Genomic DNA, 18,100 nt, shown 5'->3' with positions numbered 1-18,100 from the left:
TCTGAACAACAACTGGCAATCAGTGACACATTCTGTATTTTCATAACTTAAAATGATGTCAACCCTTTTTGTAACTAAATTTTAAAAATAGTATTTGAAAATAGCAGGCATTTATCTGGTACTATTTGTTTTGTAGGTTTTAGTTTAGAAAGTCAGACTGAAGTACTAAAAGTTGTCTCATGCGTCCGTGTGAAGAGACCATCAAACAGGCTTTGTGTGAGCAACAAGGCTGTTTATTTCACCTGGGTGCAGGCGGGCTGAGTCCAAAAAGAGAGTCAACAAGTGTGGTGGGATAATCATTAGCTACCATAGGTTTTGGGAGAGGTGGTGGAGTTAGGAGCTATGTTTTGCGGACAGGGGTGGATCTCACAAAGTACATTCTCGAGGGTGGGAAGAATTACAAAGAACCTTCTTTAGGGTGGGGGAGATTACAAAGAATCTTCTTAAGGGTGGGAGAAATTACAAAGTACATTGATCAGTTAGAGTGGGGCAGAAACAAATCACAATGCTGGAATGTCATCAGTTAAGGCTATTTTCACTTCTTTTGTGGATCTTCAGTTGCTTCAGGCCATCTGGATGTATACATGCAGGTCACAGGGGATATGATGGCTTAGCTTGGGCTTAGAGGCCTGACAATCCTGTCTTCTTATATTAATAAGAAAAGCAAAACAAAATAGTGAAGTGTTGGAGCAGCGAAAAGTTTTGTGGGTGGTAAGAAGAGATAATGGGCGATGTTTCTCAGGGCTGCTTCAAGTGGCATTAGGGGTGGCGTGGGAACCTACAGTGGGAGAGATTCAACTGAAGAATGATTTTGGGGTAAGGGGTGATATTGTGGGGTTGTTAGAAGGAACATGTGTTGTATAGAATTATTGGTGATGGCCTGGATGTGGTTTTGTATGAGTTGAGAAACTAAACGAAAGACACAGGGTCCAAATAAGAGAAGGAGAAAAACAGGTATTAAAGGACTAAGAATTGGGAGTACCCAGGATATCCAATTACAGAGTGTCCAAGGAGGTTCAGCATAATTATTTGCTTGGTTGGCAAGTTTTTGGGCTCTATCCTTGATTTTTTTTTATGTTGTCATATACCAGGCCAGATTGATTTAGATAAAATCAACACTCTTCATTTAAAAATATACAGAGTCCCGTTTTTTTGTTGTTGTTGTTGTTTTTTTTTTTTTTTTTTTTTTTTAGCAGTGAGTAAGTCAGGGCCTCAGTGATTTTGGAGGAAAGAGAAATACAAAGCCAGCAATTGTTTGTTAAAGAAGGATTAGAAACGGCCAGGAGAGAGTGAGTTTGATAGCGTGGTGGAGATAGCTGGGGAGAGGTAGAGGGTGGCATAAGAACGGGAACCAGAATAAGAGTGAGTATAAAAGGGAAGAATAGGATTTCATCAGGGTGAAAGTTCTGGAGGGTACCTTGCCACTGAAGATCTATCCACTTCAAGAGAGACTTAAAAATGGCGATTTGAGGTAAAACCAGGAGCCACTAAATACCAAGAGCCTGAGAAATGGCTTGGGTGATTTGACTAATAAAGGCCAGTCTGTTATTGGACTGTATAGAGGTGGGAGGATGGTAAGGGGTATGAAGCTTTCACTGAATACCAAGAGCCTGAGAAACTGCTTGGGTGATTTGACTAGTAAAGGCCAGTCCGTTATCAGACTGTATAAAGGTGGGAAGGCCAAACAGAGGAATTATGTCTGACAGAAGGGAAGAAATGACCATGGTGGCCTTCTCAGACCCTGTGGGAAAGGCCTTTCTTTACCCATCCAGTGGAAGTGTCTATCCAGACCAAGAGGTATTTTAGTTTCCTGACTCAAGCTGTGTGAGTAAAGTCAATTTGCCAGTCCTGGGTGGGGGCAAATCCCTGAGCTTGATGTGTAGGGAAGGGAAGGGGCCTGAACACTCCCTGAGGAGTAGCAGAATAGCAGATGGAACACTGAGAAGTGATTTCCTTCAGGATAGATTTCCATGATGGAAAGGAAATAAGAGGTTCTAAGAGACGGGCTAGCAGCTTATAACCTACATGGAAGAGGTTATGAAATGATGACAGAATAGAATGGGCCTGTAAGGCTGGAAGGAGATATTTTTCTTAGTCCAGTAACCTTTTGCCTTGTGTGGGAAGAGATTGATAGGTGGAAGTTTCAGTGGGGGAGTAAGTGGGAGTGACCAGATGAGAAGGAGAAAAACTGGCCGTGAGGGGCAGAAGTTGGAATGCTAGCTGCTTCTTTAGCTACCTTATCAGCATAAGCATTGCCTTGACTGATGGGATCTGATACCTTTTGATGGCCCTTGCAGTGAATGACTCCAGTTTCCTTTGGAGGTAAAGCGGCCTTGAGAAGAGTTTTTATTAAAGAGGCGTTAATGATGGAGGACCCTTGCATAGTGAGGAAACCTCTTTCAGCCCATGTAACAGCATGGTGGTGCAGGATATGGAAGGCATATTTAGAGTCAGTATAAATATTGACACGTAATTCCTTTGCAAGAGTGAGGGCTTGAGTTAAGGCAATGATTTTGGCTTGCTGAGAAGTAGTGGAGTGGGGCAGAGTGGTAGCCTCAATGATAGATGTGGAAGATACTATAGCATAGCCTGCCTTTGCTGGTGTGTGGTGATTAGGCCTGGTGGAACTGCCATCAATAAACCAGGTATGATCAGTGTGAGGAACAGGAAAGAAGGAAATATGGGGAAATGGACAGAATGCCAAGTGTATCAGAGAGATACAGTCATGGGGTTCAGGTGTGGTATCAGGAATAATGTGGGAGGCTGGATTGAAGTCCGGGCCAGGAACAATGGTAACTGTGGAAGACTCAACAAAGAGTGGGTACAGCTGAAGGAGCTGGGGGGCAGAAAATATATGTGTCAAGTGTGAGGAGGAAAATAGATTTTGGAAGTTATGAGAACTGTAGAGAGTAAGTGGAGCATAGCTTGTGATTTTGAGGGCCTCTAAAAGTATTAAAGCAGCTGCAGCTGCTGCAAGCAGACATGAAGGGTAGGCTAAAACAGTAAGGTCAAGTTGTTCAGATAAAAAGGCTACAGGGTGCAGTCCCGGCTCTTGTGTAAGAATTCTGACCTCACAGCCCTGCACTTTGGCTGTGTGTAATGAAAAAGGGTTGGGATGAGTTAGGGAGAGCTAGTGTGGGGGCAGCTTCTAGGGCTGTTTTTAAGGAACGGGAAGGAGTGGCAAAATGATTTAGGATCTGTGGGGTCAGCTAGGTTTGCTTTTGTGAGTTTATATAATGGTTTAGTCAGGATGGTAAAACTAGGTATCCAAAGGCTGAAATACCTAACTATGCCTAAGAAAGAAAGGAGTTGTTGTTTTGTAGAAGGGATTGGGGCTTGGGAAATTAGCCAGACACAATCAGCAGGGAGAGCATGTGTGTTTTCATGAGAATTATGCTGAGATAGGTAACAGATGAGGAAGAAATTTGGGCTTGACTGAAGTAATGGGGGCTGTCTGTGAAGCCCTGCGGCAGTACAGCCCAGGTAATCTGCTGAGCCTGATGGGCGTCAGGGTCAGTCCAAGTGAAAGCAAAGAGAGGCTGGGATGAAGGGTGCAAAGGAATAGTAAAGAAAGCATGTTTGAGACCCAGAACAGAATAATAGGTTGTAGAAAGAGATATTGAGGACAGGAGAGTATATGGGTTTGGCACCATGGGGTGGAAAGGCAAGACAATTTGGTTGATAAGGTGCAGATCCTGAACTAACCTGTAAGACTTGTCCGGATTTTGGACAGGTAAAATGGGGAAATTGCAAGGAGAGTTTATACCCTTTAAAAGGCCATGCTGTAACAGGCAAGTGATAACAGACTTTAATCCTTTTAAAGCCTGCTGTGGGTTGGGATATTGGCATTGAGTGGGGTAAGGGTGATAAGGTTTTAATGGGATAGTAATGAGCATGTGATTGATTACCAGGGAGGGAGTAGAGGTGTCCCATACCTGTGGATTAAGGTGGGGAGATACAAGGAGAGGATGTGAAGGAGGCTATGAACTGGGTTTGAAAAGGATGCAATGAGGTGTGGCTGTAGCCCAGGAATAGTCAGGGAAGCAGATAATTTAGTTAAAATGTCTCAACCTAATAAGGGAACTGGGCAAGTGGGGATAACTAAAAAGGAGTGTATAAAAGAATATTGTCCAAACTGGCACCAGAGTTGGGGAGTTTTAAGAGGTTTAGAAGCCTGGCCATCAATACCCACAACAGTTACGCAGGCAAGGGAAACAGGCCCTTTAAAAGAAGGTAATGTGGAACGGGTAGCCTCCATATTGATTAAGAAGGGGACGGGCTTACCCTCCACTGTGAGAGTTACCCGAAGCTTGGCGGCCGTGATGGTCTAGGGGGCTTCCGAGGCAATCAGGCAGCGTCAGTCTTCAGCTGCTAAGCTGAGAAGATCTGGGAAGGAGTCAGTCAGAGAGCCTTGGACCAGAGTTCCAGGGGCTCTGGGAGTGCCTTCCAGGTGAGTTGAACAGTCCGATTTCCAGTGGGGTCCCGCACAGATGGGACATGGCTTAGGAGGAATCCCAGGCTGCAGGCATTCCTTGGTCCAGTGGCCAGATTTCCGTCACTTGGAGCAAGATCCTGGGGCAGGCGGTCCTAGAGGAATGCCTGGCCACTGCGGTTCAGGCATTTGGAGTTCTTGTGTGCTGGAGATGTGGCTGGGGTTTGTCTCACAGTGGAGGCAAGGAATTGCAAATCAGAAATACATTGCTACTTGGCTGCCTCTACTCTGCTATTGTACACCTTGAAGGTGAGGTTAATTAAGTCCTGTTGTGGGGTTTGAGGGCCAGAATCTAACTTTTGGAGCTTTTTCTAATGTCGGGAGTGGATCGGGTTATAAAATGCATATTGAAAATAAGACGGCCTTCTGGCCCCTCTGGGTCTAGGGTGGTAAAGCGTCTAAGGGTTGTTGCCAAACGGGCCGTGAACTGGGCTAACTTTTTATATTTGATGAAAAAGAGCCTAAATGCTAACTGATTTGGGAGAGATCGGATAAAGAAAAAAGGAGCATTAACCTTGACTATGCCTTTAGCTCCAGCCACCTCTTTAAGAAGAAATTGTTGGGCAGGTGGGGGAGGGCTAGTTGTAGAACTTAACTGTAAGCCAGACGGGGTGTGAGGAGGGAAGGTGATAGAAAGATTATAGGGTGGGGGAGCAGAGGCTGAGGAAGAATTGGGACCTGGCTCAGCCTGGCAAGGAGCAGCCTGGCGAGAAGGGGAGAGGTCAGATGAGTCCGTAGAAAAGGAGGATTGAAAGGACTCAGAGCTTAGGGTGGAGACTGAAGGAACAGACAGGAGAGAAAGAAGAAAGAATTGGGACCTGACACATTGGGAGAAGAGACTAGGGAGGGACCAATGTTGTTGAAATATGATTCCTGAGACTTTCTCTCAAAATGTTCCTTTGCTCGAACCACGGTCCAAGAATTGCAATTTTAGAAAGCATAAAAAAAGAGTCAAATATTTTAGTATTGTTTGAAAGCAACTGCCCTAATATACTCAATAAAGGTAGGCTTTTGTTCCCAGTCATTGTACAGTAATTTAGTAGTTACTACTCTATTTCCCATACACCTCAACCATTGTTAGCTACATCCTGGGTTACTAATCTCTTTGTCACTGGCCATGAGATAAAACTCTATAATGAAATCTTGTTCCTGCTGCATAGTTGTCAAGATAAAAGTTAATGAATGAGGAGTACTTCCCTTTAAGTTCCTTTTTTTTTTTTTTTACCCACATAGCACAACCTTAAAAAACTGCGTGGCTATATAAGACATTACTGCATCACTTGATAGTTAGCTAATGGGAATTGTACTGTTTGCATGCAGCCTTAAATTGTTTGTTCCCATATGACAAGCATAAAGAAAAACTAAAAACATAAAACAATCAAAACAAACAACAAATTTTTTTTTTTTTTGAGACAGGATCTTGCTCTGTCACCCAGACTGAAGTGCAGTGGCATGATCTAAGCTTACTGCAGTCTCAAACCCTGGGCTCAAGTGATCCTCCTACCTCAGTCTTCTGAGTAGCTGGGACTATAGATGAGTACCATGCCCAGTTAAATTCTTATCTTTTAACAGGAAGTCATGACACAAACTTATTTTAATGTTAATCCTTGATTCCCTGAAATGAGTACCACCATCTCAGAGGAAAACAACTCTTTCAAGATCCAAAATACAATGTCACCTCTTTTACTCAAGTCCCTAACCCAATAATTAGATTTACTTTATGCAACAGACTGAATGTTTTTGTTCCATAAAACTTCAGGGGGTCAAATACTAACTCATAATATGATAGTGTTAGGAAGTGGGACATTTGGGGAGTAAACTTGTAAAGAAGGCCCAGAAACTCCTCTCAACCCTTCTAATATGTGGGAACCCAGTGAAAAAAAAAATTGTTTCTCTATGAATGTAGAAGCTGCCCCTCACCAAACACCAGATCTAGCAGTGCTTTGGTTTTGGACTTCTTGACCTCCAGAACTGTGAGAAATAAATTTATCTTTGGCTATCAACAGTATTCTATTACAGTAGCCTGAATGAATGAAGCACTTTGATCCCTATTTTTATGTCTTATTAATAATTCCAGGAGACGGGCAAACACAGAAGGTGGAATGGGGCAAAAGATGCTGAGTAAAGGACCTTGACCAAAGCTAAAGAGCAAAATAAAAGTAGAGCTGGATTCTGACCCCAAGCAGTTTAGTTCCACGTGTGCCTCCCACCAAGAAATAGGTATATTTCCTTTAAGTGAACCTTCAATACTACCAACATGGTAATAATACGTCATCTTTTAATCTCACTGGCAAGCATATGTTTTTATATTTTCATTTCTCTGTATATACACCAGAACTCCTTCTCTATAGTCCTAATTATGCATCATTTAATATAAAAAATAATTTTCTGTTATCTTTGAACACAAAATGGCTATTGTTGTGTAAATTTTATTTACTGATGGACGTGTTTAAACTGGTAATTTCAGAGACTTTAGATTAAAATAGACAGTCTCTATATAATTGAATTTGTGCTATAAATCTTCCCTTATCTTGACACGTTTAAGAAACTATTGGTTTTCTTTTAGCTGTCTTTTTTGAACTTCTTTGGAAAAAAATATTGCTCATCATATTATAGCTCCTGGTGATTTTTCTTGAGAACATGTAGTTTATAATAAGATAACACAAAACTCTTAGGAGGATTTATGAATTTTGTTTCCCATGATTGCTTAGCCATATACATTTATGAGGTACCAATAACCAGGAGCAGTTTTCAGAACTTAAGAAGTAAACAATTGTTTTAGAATTTAGGTTTAATGATACAATTAATTTTTCCTTTTTAATTTTTAGTTGACATGTAATTATGGTACATATTTATAAAATATAGAGTAATATTTTCATACATGTATACAATGTGAAATAATAAAATTATAATAATTAGCATTTCTATTACCTCAAATATATATTATTTATTTGTGTTATGAACATTCAATATACTCTATTCTAGCTTTTTGAAGATATAAAATAAATTATATGTAACCATGTGTACCCTGCAGTGCTGCAGATCACTAGAGCTCATTTCTCCTATCTAGCTATAATTTCTGTCTGTTAATCAACTTCTCCATATCCTCCCTTCTCCTGATTATCCCCCTTCCATAACTTTCCTCAGGCTTTTTTAGCTCATACATATGAGTGAGAACATGTAGCTTTTATTTTTCTGTGCCTAACCTATTGTAAATAAAAATACCCTCCAGGTTTATCTATGTTGTCATGAATAATGGTATTTCATTATTTTTTATGGCTGAATAATATTCCCTTGACCACATATACCACATTTTCTTTTTTTATTATTATACTTTAAGTTCTAGGGTACATGTGCACAACGTGCAGGTTTGTTACATATGTATACATGTGCCATGTTGGTGTGCTGCACCCTTTAACTCATCATTTACATTAGGTATATCTCCTAATACTATCCCTGCCCCCTCTCCCCATCCCACGACAGGCCCTGGTGTGTGATGTTCCCCACCCTGTGTCCAAGTGTTCTCATTGTTCAGTTCCCACCTATGAAGCTGGAAACCATCATTCTGAGCAAACTATCACAAGGACCGAAAACCAGACACCACATTTTCTTACTTCATTTATTCATTGATAGACATTTAGGTTAAATCCATATCTTAGCTATTGTTAATAGTGCTGTGATAAACATGGGGGTGCACATATCCTTTGATACACTGATTTCCCTTCCTTTGGATAAATACCTAGCAGTGGGATTGCTGGATTGTATAATAGTTCTATTTTTAATTTTTTTAAAAGAAATCTCCATATTGTTTTCCGTAATTGTTATTCTAATTTACATTTCTATCAGCAGTGAATAGGAATTCCCTTTGTTCTTCATCCTTGCCAGCATTCATTAGCTTTTGTCTTTTTGACAATAGCCATTCCAAACAGAGTAAGATGATATCTCATTTGGATCTGATTTGCATTCATGTCTTTCACCACTCTTATTCAATATAATACTAGAAATTGTAGCCAGATAAATTAGGCAAGAGAAAGAAATAAAGGGCATCCAAACTGGAAAAGAGGTAGGCAAATCTTTCCTCTTTACAGATGACATGCTCTTATATATAGAAAAACTTAGACTGTGCCAGGAATCTCTCAAAACTGATAAACAAATTCAGTAAAGTTGCAGGATACAAAATTAATTAATAAAATAATCAGTGGCACTTCTATACACTAATTTCAAACTAGCTGAATAAGAAATCAAGCTGAATAAGAAATCAATCTTATTGAAAATAGCCACACAAAAAGTAAATAAAATACTGAGGAATAAATTGAACTAAGGAGGTGAAAGATCTCTATAAAGGGAAACTATAAAACACAGATAAAAGAAACTGAAGAGGACAAAAACAAATAGAAAGCCATCTCATGCTCATAGATGGAAAGAATTAATACAGTCTTAAAGTTTAGGACAGTTAGTTGGATCAATAAATTTATTTTTCTCAAAAATAGAGGAAGCATGGCCTTTTCAATTTAACTTTAGAATTACAGTAGGTTGAGGACTCAGTTTCTCAAAATGTATTCCATAGATAGATTACACTAGAATTATCTGTGATGTTGTAAAAGTTGCAAATTCCAGGCACCAAACCCAGATTTCCTGAATCTGAGTCTCTGGAGTTTGATCCAGCTATTTGTATTTTAAGGAAGCACCTCAGATGTTTGGTCAGTACTAAAGTTTAGGGACCACATACATATGGAAAGCATAAACAAATGATTCTGGATTCAGAAGATTCATTCAGAAATAATTATCATATGTGCTTATTCAGTCAGAGAAAAATCATTGTAATGCAATAATTTTAGTAGTTACAAAAGTAGCTTTTGCAATTCTGCAGATGTAAAGAATTTGTACTACGTGTTCAGGGCAAACACAAGAAATAATTTAAGAAAAACATAGATTTCCTGTGATTAGCAGGAGATAGGTACAGAGTTTTGAAAATTAGAGAAGTTACAAGCTATTGTTTCCACTGGCTCAACAATGTCTGAGAGTTCACTTTGCAGAGCTGGTATAGCATCAGGCTATCTGGTTTCCCTAACCCACAGATTTCCTCAAAATCCAGGAAAAAGAGAAGAAGAATATCTCTAAGAAACAAATACTATTTATACAGTATTTCTAATCCTCACAGTAACCTGTATCCCATACTCATAATATATGCAAGAACTGAGATTGTAATCAAGGTGAGTAGTATGTCAAATCCCTTATTCTTTCTACTACTTTAAGCTGTCTTCTGGAGTATGGGAAAAAATAGCTACGGATCACATGATTCTGTTCTGTTTTGCTTGTATATCCTATACACAGATCTACCATGACTCTCGCCAATGGAACTTTGCACTGGGTCAGAGCTATCTTTCCTCCAAGTGACCTTTAGGACTAAGAGTTTCTCTTATAATCACCTTCCTTTCATCAGCCAAAACCTTAATGTGCCAGCATAGTCCCACTATTGATCTCATCATATCTCTTCAGCTCTCAGACTTTACTATGTGAACATCGTGTAAGCAATCTTCCTTATGATCTCAATTGATCTAAGCACACTCTGTAGCTCCTCTTCTTTTACCTATAAACCAATCTGCAAACCTGATGGCACTTTTCATTGAGGGCTTTCATATGATGGCTGTTTGTTTCCTATATCCCTATGACTCTCAGTGCAGGAGGGAGGCTTGATAAACTATGTGATCCTCATTTATTCAAATAGACTTTTGGCATCTATTTTTTCCTAACAATAGATGTTTTGAGATTTCTGCAGTTTATCAATGAAGGCAAGCATGTTATCATTCTCTACCAACATATGGGGAACTTCTTCTTATTTATTAAATAACAGTAATAGACAAGTAAAGAACAGAAATGAAAGAAAGAAAGAAAGAGGGACAGAGCAAGAGAAAGCTTTGCCACTTGATTTAAAGCATTGCTCTCTTTTGCATGTTTTATCCTGGTGATTTCAGTACACATGGGATAACCTGTAAAACTCAGGACTTTTTGATATTCAAATTTTTCATGCATAAAGATTTTTCTCCTTGATTCAAATAAGAAAACATACCAAAATCATAACTTGAATTTTACCAGTTGTCTTGCTTCCATCTTCAAGACTGCTCATGCAAACATTCCACTCTACATATAAACATTTAGCTTTCAATCTGTTTCCACTCAGTTTTTCCACTTCAACTGTTCTACAACCTTGTTCAGACTACTCCACTTTCACTACATCCATTCATTTTCCTCATGTCTCTCATCATTAATCTCAGATTTCTTGGTCTATCATTTCAGAAATATCTTTCCATTAATCCAAACTCTCTAACCACTCTTTCATTTTGTTTCACAACTTGAATAAATTCCAATTCCTGAATGAATTCAACTTTCTGTTTTGTCCATTCTTAAAGCAGAGTAACCTGGTACTGCTAGAGAAAGTCAAACAACTACCAATGTGGACATATGAGTAGATTTATTATAACTAGATTATGGCAACTCCAAATAATCTATTAATTTTCTCTGAATATCCACGAATATTTCCAATTCCCTTTTTCACTGTTACATACCTAGAAAATAGTAATGATCTGATTGAAATTTACTCATTTTACAAATTATACAGTTATTTCCAATTCACTTAGTAAAAAAGATAGCCCTATTTCTGTTCAAATACCTACCCCAGTGTTTTAGATTTCATTACTAAAAACTATTTTTTAATTTCTCTTAAAATATAATATATTGAAACTCTCCCACTCTACTGGATCTTTCTCACATTTTTAAAAATTAAAAGCAAGGGACCACAAAGAAACTAACTGAGGTTTTGAGGTGTACATTAGATTTCAACAACATAGACCTTACAAGGATAATTATGGGGCTCTTTTTAGTCTATGTCTCCGTGTATTTGATAATCTAGAAATACATTGTTGAACCTAATTCATTTCACAAAATTTTCTGATTGAAGTTAGCTAGAGAATCTTATAATGTTATTAAAGTATAGATTGAAGTCCAGCACAGAGAACTATTATTCCAATAGAAGGCAAAAAGGAAAATTCAACATAATATTAGCAACATTTTATATAATGCCTACGATATGCTAATATTAAATCAATTGTTTTGAATGGATTATCTCATTTCATCTTAATGAGAAATGATTTTTACCACATTCTCAAATTCAAGTTATTTTAAGTAAAAAATGGAGGAGGAAACATGGAGAACACATGAGGACAGGAGAATATCCAAAAATAATGAGAAGTCAAACCAATGTGGAGTTGGTAGGAGTAGTATACTGGGTAAAAACTGATAAGACTTCAACTAAATTATTAGTGATTATTATTACTGATTAAAGTCCACTTGTATATTGTGTATACTACTTTCTCAAGAAAAATAAAATAAGAAATAATCTAAGATTTTCACTTTTTAAGGCAAACAAATTGATTTTGAACTGACTTAATGGAACTGGAAGTTTGTGCCAATAACATCACAGATATCAATATACTTAACTATTATTTCTGTGATTTTAATAATAATTTTTCAAGAAAGCCAAAATTTTACATAATAAATTGTATTTTTTAAACTTTGTTCTTATTGTGACCACAGTGCAAATCTATTCTGTACAACTGAGGACTACTTAATTTTTGTCGTTTTAAGAAAACAAACTATCCTTATCCATAAAAATTTTTTAAAGAAGGACTAATGCAGAAAAAGAGAACATTTGCAAAAATGCATTTTCCTTTATCTTAATGATTAACACAGGCTCACATATATCATCAGAGTTTTAAGTACCTAAACTTTCTAAAACCAATTTAGTCTCTTTTAGTTATATGCATACTGAGTAAGAACAATGCACACTGAATTTTCTATGAATTAGAAATCAGTGCTGCAAACACTGTGCTTAAAAAAATAAGCAGTCATAGAAACAGCTGGAAAAAAATTATGCTTATCCAGCCTTATGAAATGTAGTTGAAAATGAAAGAAATGAGGAAAACACTATTCATAATTTCTTTTAGACACAAAAGAATCATAAAAAGCCCTCCCAAAGGACCAGTACACTCAATTCTCCCTGATACTAAAGAATAGATTCCAGAAAGAGTCTATAAGAATATAATAACATGACTTGTCAAAACTGGACTGTTTTTAGTTCTTATAATTTAGAAAAAAAAGAAGTCCTTGTTCTGAAATGCAGAGCAAAATTAAAGTTATAATTATACAAAGGAGTACACAGTGGCAGCTGCAAAATCCCTTATATTACTCCCAAACTTTAATTCCCAGAATTAATCTTGATCTTATTGACTGCCTTATTAACTGCTGTAAATAGCAAAGCAAAGTATTTTTGTGGGAGGAAGTTGGAGGCATCTGAGTATAGGATGAAAAACAGCATTGTGATAATGCATACTCTCCACTGTGAATAGTATACGCAACTCCTAAGTATACAAAAAAGCATGTCAAAAATATTTATAATAATATCAAAAGTTTATTTCTTTCATAATTAAAATTGAAATATTTAATATTTTTAAGTGTGCATTGGCTAAGAGCATCATTCTCATGATTGATTGAAGAACACAACAAAATATAATGTAATTAATGTTGTTTTTCTTCCTAATAATTCTATTCTAATTTTTCTAATGTTAAATTAGTTTGTTTTGTTGTTGTTGCTGTTCACTTACACAATGTTAATTGCTCATAACCATTAATTGGTTACATCGTCATTCAACTTTTGTTCACCTAATATTCTAAATTATACCTCAGCAGCGAATAATTTAAAAAATCCGATCTACCCAAGTCAATATGGGCATTATATCCCTTTTCAAAAGTAGTCATTGGTGGGCCAGGCACAGTGGCTCACGCCTGTAATCCTAGCACTTTGGGAGGCCTAGGTGGATGGATCACCTGCGATCAGGAGTTTGAAGCCAGCCTGACAAGACGTATACCAAGGGTTTGTTAGCTCTTATTTTGATATATCAAATTTGATTCTGCAGGCTCCAATAATTGTAATTCTTCGGATTCTGATAGTTTGCTAAAATAAATACCAAGAATTGATCAAACAATATTTAGAAATAAAGGAATTTTCAAATTATTGAGAAATTGATGAAGAAATATTTAACATAAATAGCTGTAAATAAATGCATTTAGAAACCAGTGAAAAAGTATTTTTTCATCAGACAGTATTCCACCTACCCAAGAATGACTTATTTCTCTATCATGCTACTAAACTCATTCTTAGAAAAGTCGTCCATTAGCTCAGTGTTGCCAAAAAATAAATACTCCCTTGACCTCATTGTATATTATCTATCAGTGACATTTAATGTAGAAGATACTTTCTTTGCTTGGATTTTCTGACATACTGACCCCTGCTTCTTATTTTGTTACACAGGCCTGTTATTGATGATGAAAGCCTGGTCTAACTCCCTATTCTCTATTTAAGTTTTTTCTCAATATTATCAAATCCCATTTTTTTTCAATTCTCAGATTTATAACTATATCCTCTATCCTGCACTTTAATTTTTTTAACCAGTTTCATTCATAATCCCTCCACTTGCATTTCTAATTTAGTATTTGAAACCTAGCACATTAAAACAGTAATCTCGTCCTTTCTTCTAGATCGAACTCATGCATAGTTCTCTTCCATATCAGTAAGTAGTATCATCAGCCATTCAATGCATCATCCAAAATGCAAAATTTACCCATGATTTCCCACTTTTGCCTACATTCTAAATCCAATTCATCAGTAAATACCTTTGTTTTATCATTAAAAGAATTCTTAATCTTTTTCTTTTCAATTCTATTACCATAGCAATAGACAGTTCACCATCTCTTCCAATAGCTTAGTTCTGATCTCCTCACTCTCATTGTTGCTGCCCTGATATCCATTCTTCATCAAATCTTAGAATTGAAATTTTAACATAAATTAGAACCTATATTTGTCTTCATTTAAAATCCTCAAAGCCATCTCCCTGATAAAAATGTAACTTCAACTCTTTATAATGATTGCTAAACCTGACATGTTCTACGTCTGCTTAGCCTGTGTGACCTCAGATTCATCCCAGGATGTATTATGACACATACCCTTTGGCTGCCTTATTATTCCTATGTTCAAAGCATTTGCATTTTCCTTCTCCCTTAGTTTGCCAAAAGTCTAGTATTTTTCTCAAATTATGGGAGAAACCACCAAGATCCAGGATGGAACATAACTTTTGTATGCTGTAACAAGAGATAACGAATCCCACAAAAGTGCTGAAAAGTAACATTTTCCTGAGGGTTCCCAGGTCAGTTTTTCAGCATATAATGTGGATATTGAATCTCTGCGGCAAGAAAAAAAAAGTATTATCTTTTTCTACATTGGTGTATTTATTAAAAATTTTAGGAGACCAAATTTAAACATTAAATAAAAATGAAATAGATTGGCTCCTACCGCTGGAAAGAATATCAGGCTAGTAACCACATGAGAAATTAAGTAGAAAGAGAAAGTTGGGTATTGAAGCAACTTGCCTTTTCCCCATTTATACCCTTTCTCAAGGTAAAGCAAGAAAAAAGGAAAAAAATGCATACAGATTGGAAATGAAGAAGTAATACCAACTTAATTCAGAGTATTTATATAAACTAAATAGAAACTTTGGTCAAATATACAAAAATGCCAATAAATATAATGTTGTTTATCATGTTTATAGGGCACAAGATCAAGATAAAACTAAAATTTATTGCAAAGAACATTCAAAAATGGAAATAAAATACATAATTAGAAATACTAGTAAAATTATGTTCTATTTAGCTTGGATGGTGCTCTGCACGTTTGTAGTCTCAGCTACTTTGGAGGTTGACGTGGGAGGATTGCTTGAGCCCAGGAATTTGAGGTCAGCCTAGACAATAGAACAAGACTCTCTCTCTCTCTCTCTCTCTCTCTCTCTCTCTCTCTCTATATATATATATATATATGTACTTTATATATATATACTTTATATATAATATGTATATACTTAAGGATAAGTCTGTCTAAAAATAAGCATAATTAGTGTATACTCAAAAGGCAAACAAAAAAAGAGGAAATGTTGCTGAGTAAAATTAAGGCAGATCTAAAATAGAAGATTGCTGTATTGTGTTCGTACATCAAAAGACCCATCATAGTTGAAATGTCAATTCTCTCCAAAGCAATCTGTCAATTCAATGCTGTCCTCATCATGATCCTAGCAAGCAGGCTATTTTTTTTTTTTTTTTTTTTTTTTTTTGGTGGGGGGAAGGAGTCTCTCGCTCTGTCGCGCAGGCTGGAGTGCAGAGACGCAATCTCTGATCACTGCAAGCTCCGCCTCCCGGGTTTACGCCATTCTCCTGCCTCAGCCTCCTGAGTAGCTGGGACTATAGGCGCCGGCTAAATTTTGTATTTTTAGTAGAGACGGGGTTTCACAGTGTTAGCCAGGATGGTCTCGATCTCTTGACCTCGTGATCCGCCCGCCTCGGCCTCCCAAAGTGCTGGGATTACAGGCTGAGCCACTGCGCCTGGCTGCAAGCAGGCTATTTTTTATTTATTATAAATTGAGAAGTTATTTCTGAAATCATATGGAAGTGCTAAGAACATATAATAAATGAAACAGCTCAAAGAATAACAAAGTTGGAGCATGTATATTGTTTGACTTCATGTTAATTATTAAGTTATATGCCTCGAGACAGTATGTTATTAGCATCAAGGTAGACAAATATATGCATGGAAAAAATAAAATGCGGACAAATAGACTAACAGATATAAGATCAACTGATTCTCACCGAATTGCAAGTTCAGTCTACTTAAAGGACAATCATTTCAACACATGGTTCTAGCACAACTGGATATTTATTTGATCAAAATTAAACTTTAATTCGTAACATACCTCATATAATTAACTCATTTTTCATAGACTTAAGTGAAAACATTTGGAGGTGTTTAACTTCTAGAGAAAAATATAAGAGAAAATAATTGTGACCTTGTATTAGGCAAACATTTCTTAGATATAATACAAAAAAAAAGAAAAAAAGAAAAATAAAAAAACCCTAAAAATATCCTGATTAAAAAGTTGAAAAATGGATTTCGTCAAAATGAAAATTACCCTTTGAAATATACTACTAAAAGAATAAAGAATTCAATCATCAATTTAAAAAAATTAGCAAAGTTCATGTCTGATTAAGGTTTGTATCATGAATATATAAATAACTCATGAAATTCAATAATAAGAAAACCATTAATTTAAACACAGGACAGATAATTCAAAGAGTTACTAATGAAGGTATGTGAATGTCGAATACACACATAAAATGCTATTAGCAATATTAGTAGTAAAAAGCATTCAAATTAAGTCAACAGTGAGATACAAATGTTCACATCTATTAGAATGGCTAAAATTAAATAGGCTGATCATAGCCAAGTGTTGTACAGGATGTAGAGCAACTGCAATTCTCATACACTGCTAATGGGATGTAAATCATTTGCATAAAATATAACAGCTTTCCATGCAATGTGAACATATACCTATCATTTGATTTAGTGTTCCAGTACATTGTAGTTACCCAAGTAAAATGAAGATTAACAACTTTAGTTTCTAAGAAAATACAAATTAAGTTGACACTATTTATGCCTACTAATAGTTGACTTTTCTAATGGAATTGGTTAGAAACTGGAGAAACATGACAGTTGATGGAAGTCTTTCTCCCCTGTGGATTGAGGTAAAAATTAAGAAAATATGATTGATTTAGGGAAAAACTAAAGTACTATTTGGATGCAAAATCAGTTACACAGTTTGGATTTCAATATATAAACGTTTTTTGGTAAATGAGTGAATATGGATTTTTAAATTTTTTAAGGATTGCTGTATTAATGGCAATCTTCAGTTCCAAGTAATATTTAGTTTTCTGAGTACTCAAGGGGATTTAAAGATCTCATTGGTAATGTTATATATGATATACAGGGTTTTTCTCATGAGGAAAAAATACCATTTTAGTTAGAATATTGAACACTATAATTGTAGTTCTGTATCCATGCTAAATCTTGTAGGTTAGGAAAAATATTCAAAGTTGTTGGAACTGCAAAGTGAAGTTCAACAGTTCCCTGTACCCCCAGATCTTGTCCAGGTACAAAGTGTATTAATACAAATTTTAACCTTATGGGCCATATGAAGCATTTAAAAAAATGCTTCATTTTCATTTAAAATGCCTACCCATTTGAAGGGAATTTCATGTTATGTTAAAATTATTCCAACCAATACCATTGAGATGGTATTCTAGTTAAGTTGAAGATTTGAAATTGTCCTCATAACTAGTAATTTTCATTTGCTAGTGAAATTAGGTAATCTTGGAGGAAAGTTTCTATGAGAAATAGGTGCAGAGGTAAAAGGTTCCTGAAAGTGGAGTGTGTTCTACACAAACCTATTATAATATATAGGACTGATTTGGGGTTAATTGGGAGTGATTTATGTAAATACAGTCCTTCACAGATAGAAGAGTTATCAGTATTTGAGGACCTGAAATTTATGGGAATATAGTCTTCCACAGATAGAAGAGTTATCAGTATTTGAGGACCAGGTAATCCCATTTTACTTCTTGAAAGAGATGACTTAGGAGCTGCAAAGAGATAAAGAAGGACTGAATAATCAG

Source organism: Homo sapiens, chromosome 5 (genome assembly GCF_000001405.40).
Source record: "Homo sapiens chromosome 5, GRCh38.p14 Primary Assembly".
NCBI classification, from domain to species: Eukaryota; Metazoa; Chordata; class Mammalia; order Primates; family Hominidae; genus Homo; species Homo sapiens.
This window is presented reverse-complemented; position numbering follows the sequence as displayed.